The following is a 7691-nucleotide window of genomic DNA, read 5'->3' on the forward strand; positions in this document are numbered from 1 at the left end:
TACTGGCATTTCCCAAGTACATGATCACACTGGATACAAATGATGATTTTTTTTTTCTCCTCCTTGTCAGAATTTTTCATGTTTTGGTGTATGCCCAAGAACTTCCAAAATAATGTTACATAAAAGTTGTCATGGTACCCATCCTACTTAGTTCTTGATTTTAATTAGCTTTCTTTTAGGCTAGTTATTCCTACTTTGTTGCCAGAGTCCCAACCCCCTGAAATTCTGATTTAATTGGTCTGGAGTAGGTCTCAAGCAACAGTAATTTTTAAAAACTCCCAAGGTGATGCTTATGTTCAGAGATTGAGACCCGCCCCTCAGTTCCAGGTAATTTAGCATGGATATGATGTTGGCTTATTTAATATTGATATTCTTTATCATGTTTAGGAAAAATTTGGTGTTCTTGGTTGCCTAAGATTTGTTATTTGTTTGCTTTAGAAATAGTGTTACAATGGTCTGTTGAGATGATTGCATTATATATTTATATATTTTTTTCTTACTGGATATATTAAAGTGATGAATAAAACATCCTTGTATTCCTCAGTTAAACTCAATTTGGCCATGGCCATGGTAATTCCTTTACTGCATTATTCAGTTCAGTTTGCATTTATAATTTGTAATGATATCTTTTTATGTAGTCTCTGTAATAATAACAATAATACTAGCATTATGTTTAAGGATTAAATGTTTGCTATGTTCCAGATACTGTTCTAAGTTCTTTAAATAATTATTTTATTTATTTCTCAGTCTTTCATCTATGGAAACTGAAGCAGAAAAGGATTAAATATCTTGCCCTTGGTCATACTACTAGAACATAGGAGAGCCAGGATTTGAACTCAGGTAGTTTGGTGCTGGAGGACATGCTTTAGGGCACTATTTCATGCCACCTGTCCATGCCATCATGTGTCACCTGGGTGACACTGAATAACAAGTTCTTTAGCCTCTCACTTCTTCAGTTTGCTCATCTGTAAAATGAGGATAATAGTTATCCCTCCCTCATAGGGTTTTAGGAGTAATGTGTAAATTAATACTTGTGAAATCTCAGAACCTTGCCTGGCACTGAGTAAGAACAAAATCAAGTGTTTGTTAAATAGAACCAAACCAGGCCATCTGGCACTCGGGTCTTATACATGGCCTCTTTGGCATCAGGGTTATACTGGTATTAAGAAAATGACTTGAATAGCTGACCCCAGAATCTTTATTGGAGGAAATTCCTTGATTAAGCAGATTTCTTCCATGGTTTTTTGTAAATTAGTTTTCTACTTTTCCATAATAAATTTGTTATGTACATTTTCTCAAAACTCATTTATTTTCTATTTTATTGGCATATATTTTTAAATAATAAGAAGCTTTATACTGTAATCACCTTTTACTTCTTTTGTTTATTTGAATTTTCTCTCTGTTTCTTTAAAAAAAAACCCTAGTTTTGATTTTATTAATTTTGTTTTGGATTTTTTCCCCAACAAGCCAGTATTTATCTCTTAATGCTATTAGTTTTATAAATAATGTCTGATTTATATATCTATCTTGTTGAGTAGAATGCTTCATTTATCTAGTTTTAATTCAATCATTTAAAGTAATAGGAAGCATCAAACACCATAGAATTGCCTATGTACACTTTTGGGCACATGCAACCATTTTTGATCTGCACTGTTACTCATCAACGCGCTTGTGGAGGGTTGCTCCAATCACTTCATTCACAGTCAGCCCTTTTCTCAGTCACAATTATTCCCTCCCTACTTGTTCTCTAGCCTCTCCCTTCTGGGGCCTCTCTTCTAAAACAGCTATTTTCTTGACTCAGTTTATCTCCTTCCAACATATGATTATACGTAATTGCAACGAGGGAGGTGAGGTTAGATGATTTTCATTCATTTTTCTGATCCAGTTGTGGAACACAAACTCACAAAGTCACAATTGATAGTTCTTCCCTATACAAACAAGAAGTAATCAGAAAACATAATAAAAGAATTGGTGCTATTTACCATAAAAGAAGAAGAGGAAAAGGAAGAGGAAGAAGAGGAGGAGGAAAAAGGGAAGAAGGGAAGGAAGAAAAAGAAAGGATGGGAAGGAAGGAGAGAGGGAGTAAACTTAAGAAATGTGCAGTAACTACACAAAAAAAAGACTTTCAAAAAACTTTCCGAGAGACATTTTAAAACAAAATCAGCTTGAATACAAATGAAGAGCATTTTTAATTGAAATAGGAAAAGCTAATATGGTAAGACTGTCAATTCTTTCTAAATGAATATGTAAATTTGTTGCAACCCCAATAAAATATTAATTGATTTTTTAAATATAAGAGCAGCTGGTTCTAAGACTTTTGTATAAATATCAAAATTCAAGCTTAGCCAGAAAAAAAATCTACAAAGGAAGCATAATGAATTAGGCAAGCCCTATTAGATAATAAAACATATTATAAAGCATTTGTGATTAAGCTAGATGAATGAATTGATAGAGAATCCAGAACTAGACTCAAACACATATGCAAATTCAGTTATGACAAAGGTGACATTTAGAAGCAAATGCATTCTTCAAATGATAGTGATTCTATTCATAAAGTTATAACACTTTTTTCTTACCAATGTTTTATTATTATAATATTATACATTTATTATAGTTACATTTATTATAAATATTATGCACTTTTTAATATAAATGAATCTGTAAAGTCCTAGGAAAAAAATAAAGGAATTATTTTATATTCTGGATTGGGGAAAAGCCCTTTTAATATTTACTAAGTACTTGTTGCCAAGCAATTTTTAAGCACTTTACATATATTTATTTATTTAATTCCCACACAATGTTATAATCCCCACTTTACAGATGAGAAACTAAAGCACAAAAAGGCGAAGTGAACTTGGCGCTTGGACCAATAGTTCAAAAGCGGCAGAGTGGAAGTACAAAGCCAAATGGTTTTACTCTAGAGCTTGTGTTCTCATAAACTACCTGGAAAAAAGACAAAGATGAAGGCCAGTGGCAGGTCCTGGTGCAGCTTGCTGGGCTCCATCCCTCCTTGGCTGTGAAGCATAGGTAGTCCCTGACTGTCATGTCCACAGATGGGTCATTGTTAGCACAGGTATGACATACTGTGGCATTATTATTTATCCTGTGAACGAATAGCAAGGTGGCCCTGCTGGCAGGAGAAGAAATTGTGTACTACCTGGACGTGAGAACCAGGTGATATGATGTGTGAAAGGCAGTTTTGCAAACTGGTTAAGTAATTATGCTAGACCTGGCAAGACCTTACTCTAGAAACACAAGATATGATCACAAACAACCCATGTGTTTCCCACAAAGAAGAGAAAGCTGAAGAGGCAAACTCAGCAAACTTCTGCATGCCCGATGGCCAGGGCGTACTGGCATACTTGTTTAAAATATACCTATTGTGCGGATCAGTAAGCTATAACTTCTGCAGGATTTATATGTCAGATAGCTCATTTTTGTCAACCCTCCAACCAAGCTTTCTGAAGAATTACTTCAACTCGTTCTTCACTGTCTACTCCAAATTAAATTCCAAATGGAAAAATATTTTGATATAAACCAATCTATAAACTTCCAGAAAAAAACATGGGGAATTATTTTTATACTCCAGAGTGAGAAAGACCTTTCTCATTAAGCTCAGATGTTATAATGAAAAAGAAGGATCATTTTTACTATGTTAAAATTTATGTATGGAAAAAATAATGTCAAAGACAAATAAAAACTTGGGAAAATATTTGCCCCACCCATAGCATGCAAAAGGCTAATTTTCATTATACATTCGAGAGTTATTTCAAAAAAAAATCATGAACAGAGCACACAAACAGAAAATTCACCAGAAAATAAATATAAATGGCATAAAAATATAAAAAGATATTCAACCTTAAAATTTTAGATGGTAATTTAAAATAAAATGAAATATCACTATTCATTTACTGGACAAAAATCTTTGCTAATGCACAGTATTGATGAAAGGAGAGAAAGAGACACTTCCAGACAGTGAATAGACAAATTGGTACATCTTCTTTGGAGGACAATTAAAAATGATACTAGTAATAATAATATAAATAGCTTACTTTTTTTGAGTATCAGCTATGTCAGATAGACGTTCTATGTGTTTCAGATATTCTAACTCATTTACTCCTCATAACAACCAAATGAGGTAGTTTCTATCACTATCACTATGAGAACACTAAGGCACAAAATGATTAAGAAACTTGTTCAAGATCACATGTCTAGTAAATGGAGAAGCTGAGATTCAAACCCAGAAAGTCTGGAAAATTCAACTTAAAACACCACACCACCACACACACACGCACACATGTTAACTACGGGTTGTAATAGATGTGTTAATTAATTTGACTGTAGTAATCGTAGTAATCAGTATCCAGTGTACATATATGTGTATCACATCAACATGTTGTACACCTTGAATATATATATACTTTTTATCTGTCAATTAGATATTTTTAAATTAAATAAACCAAGCTTGACAACACCCATAAAAATTCAAAAATTTTATACCCATTATATTCATTAGGATTAGATTTAGGTACTTGACATAGAAAAGAAAATAACTGTTGCTTAAACGAGGTAAAAGTTAATTTCTCTCCCAAATAAATAAAATCTGGAGGTATATAGCTTAGAACTGGCAGGGCAGCTCTTACCCTATAAAGTCCTCAAGAACCTGGCTCCTTCCAGCTCCCCACTCACCACCAAAAGGGTGTGGCCCTAGGCAGCATGTGAAGTACAAAAACGAATAAAGAATAGAGGACAGAAGGCACTTGTCATCTGTCTCTCAGAGAAGTTTTTCAGAAGCTGTCACGCGACACTTCCCGTTCCACTGCTCTAGCTGCAAAGGAGGCTGGGAAATGTAGTCTTAATTCTGGGCCGCCATTTGCACAGCTTTGCATTGTATTACCATGGAAGAGGAGGAGAAGGGAGATTGAGGGACATGTGGCCAGCTCTTTCCTTCCTGCTGACACCACAATTCAACTTCTAGGAAAATTTCTACTAGATTAATGGCACATTTGTGTAACAACATATTACACTGATTATTCCCCATTTATCCTTCCTCTCCCTGCCTACCCTGTACCTTGCAGACTGACCTCCATGGACTGCATCACCTGGGCTTCCCCAACCTCTGACTTCCACTTCTATTCAGCAGCTGGAAGAACCAGCAGAAAACCAGAGAGCAAAAGGAGATAGCAGTCAGGGTATTTATTCCTCTTGCTCCTACTCTGATGGCTGCAGTTTGGCTACTGGCTCCATTCCTCACCATGTGGCTGTAGCTCCGTTTGGCTGGCCTCTCTCCCACAGCCATGGTCTCACTGGCTTCTAGTAACACTGCTCCCTCCCCTTATCCCTTCATGCCTGGGGTGGTGAAGGCTTGTCACTGTTGGGAGTTCCTGAATGTTTAGCCATTTATTGCTGGTTCTATTCATCCTGCCAGCACCTGTGTAAATAGTACCTCCATGACTAAACTCGTCAGGTAAGCTTGGGATGTGCCATCTGCTTCTGCTGGACCCTGATTCATACACATACGTGCAAGGACTTTCATTACAGCAGTGCTTGAAATAGTAATAGACCAAAACAAATTAAATATTTATCAATAGGGAACTGATTAAATATCATGCAGTTATAGTAGTAATATAATGTAGCAGTTTAATAAATAATGGTGCACTATCATGTACACTTAAAAATTTGCTAAGAAGGTAGACCTCAAGTTATGTGTTCCTACTGCACTAAAATAATAATAATGTCTTTATGAGCTAAAATAGAGAGCTCTTGATGATAGGATGCTACCAACTGTATATTAAAATATAGATATAGATGTACAGTTAGGTTTGGATTTAGATATATTTGCATGGTGTGTTATAAATGTATATGTAATATGCATTTCTATACTTAAAGGTTTTTAAGGAAAAGACTAGAAACTGAGACTGGTGGTCACCTCTGGGAAAGAATAATGGAGAATAGGGTAGGAAAGAGCTTTACTTTCATTGAATATCCTTTTATACTATATGAATTTTTACTACATATATATTACCTTAAAAAACTATTTAGAGAAAAAAATATTAATTTTCCTTAGGATACATATAATAGGGAAGCATACGAATAAGATAGTAGCATTCCTTTGAGATTCCATTACTATAAATCGGATTCCAATTTTCTCTCCCCACCACTGTCTGCCCTCTCGTAAACCCTCCTCCCATACGGGGGCACACCAAGGGCCCTCGCTTCTAATGAAGGGCAGTACCTCATCCCCTGGATCTACTGTGGTCCTTACTGTGCTCTCCCTATGCATTGGTGTCAATTAAGGGAGTACATGTTCTGTTCCAAAGCTGTAGGAAGTGCTAGAAACCAGGAAAATGAATGATCCCTGTCCTCAGAGAGATTATTTCCTATGGAGGGACATAAAAATGTAAGAGGTGTCAACAGGAGTGAATATAGAAATTGGAGACAGGGCACAGAGACGGTGTGGTCGATTGTAATCAGGGACTAAAATGCAGAACTGGAAGGATTTCCTGAGAGGTGAGAGAGGAATGTGGTGGCAATGGTAATAAAAGGAGAATGGGGTGCCCTCTGAAGACAAGCAAAATAGAGGGCATTTGAAGTAGCAGAAACAATGTAACTTGAAGCAGGACACTTAAGATAATTTAAGACTACTGATGGCAGATTAAAACGGGGAGCCAATCAGCTGAAGGTCATTGGTGTCATCATCATCCTGGAGAGAATCAAAAGGGAAGGGTAGAAGAATGGGTTAAGAATGTCTATTACAGTCATTATTCAGGAAAGAAAAATAAAGACTAGCTAAATGTTTGATTACTACTTTAGACTGCATTAAAATATGAGCATATTAAGATGTTGCATCAAAATGTTCTTGTGCCTTTTGAGGGGAAGACACATAGGCAAGAAATAATAGAGCACACTGGGGAAATTGCTGATAGTTCTTGAGGCATGACAAATAGCAAGGGAATAATAAGGCTGCAGAGGTGGGGGCAGTGGCTGTATGATAAAAGTCTTTTCTATCATCCTGGAACAGCCAGTATTTGGCTGGGCAGTGATGTAATCAGTTGTGCATGTTAGAGAGATTACTAGGAGTATGGAAGTGAGGCCAATTAGGAGACGGTGGCACTAATCCTGAGTGAAGGTGGAGAAAGGATAGGCACACAAGAAATGTTGATGCAGTAGAATCAGCAGAAGTTAGTTATTAGTTGAAGGACAGAGGTGAGGAAACAGGAGGAATTGAAGAAATCTATATTTCTAGTGACCAGATTGGTAGGGGTGCCATATACTTGGATAAAGAATAAAGGACGAAAAAGCCTGGGGAGAATGTGTGGAGCTTGAGGTTACTTGTGAGTTCCAACTTCATGATTTCACTTATAATCTCTTCCTATACTCAATCTCTCTTTTCTCTGCTCTTCAATCCTCAAGTCTCCCGTCTCCTTCTTACCACAATTTTGCCTAATTAATGCCTACTCCCTCTTTAAGAATTAGCTCAAGCAACCTTCCATCCAGAAAGTCCCTCATGACATTTTGTCTTCTTCCAATGAAGGCTGAGTTAGGTGGCTTTTCCTCCCACAGTCTGGTAATGTTCTGTGTTTATTTCTATCATTATACCTTAATGCACGTCAAATTATTTTTCCTTTACAGATCAGTTTCCCCTACATGATGTTAAGCTCCTTATGGGTAGGATCTACGTCTTCCTCTCT

General features: G+C 36.4%; 1 long non-coding RNA gene across 3 annotated transcripts in view, besides 1 other annotated feature; it reads right to left on the bottom strand.

Annotated features, from left to right (window-relative positions):
• Positions 1-4737, bottom strand: part of CTB-30L5.1 (uncharacterized) — a 28937-nt gene extending 24200 nt beyond the window's left edge. For all 3 annotated transcript variants that reach the window (NR_187786.1, NR_187787.1, NR_187788.1), the window contains exon 1: positions 4644-4737. This is a non-coding gene — a long non-coding RNA (uncharacterized CTB-30L5.1). The remainder of the gene's footprint in view (positions 1-4643) is intronic.
• Positions 4846-4895: an enhancer, noted in NCBI's record as "active region_26486". NCBI's record gives its function as "activates an Ori minimal core promoter by ATAC-STARR-seq in GM12878 lymphoblastoid cells {active_cell/tissue: GM12878}" and the evidence as "EXISTENCE:reporter gene assay evidence [ECO:0000049][PMID:35858748]".

Source organism: Homo sapiens, chromosome 7 (genome assembly GCF_000001405.40).
Source record: "Homo sapiens chromosome 7, GRCh38.p14 Primary Assembly".
NCBI classification, from domain to species: domain Eukaryota; kingdom Metazoa; phylum Chordata; class Mammalia; order Primates; family Hominidae; genus Homo; species Homo sapiens.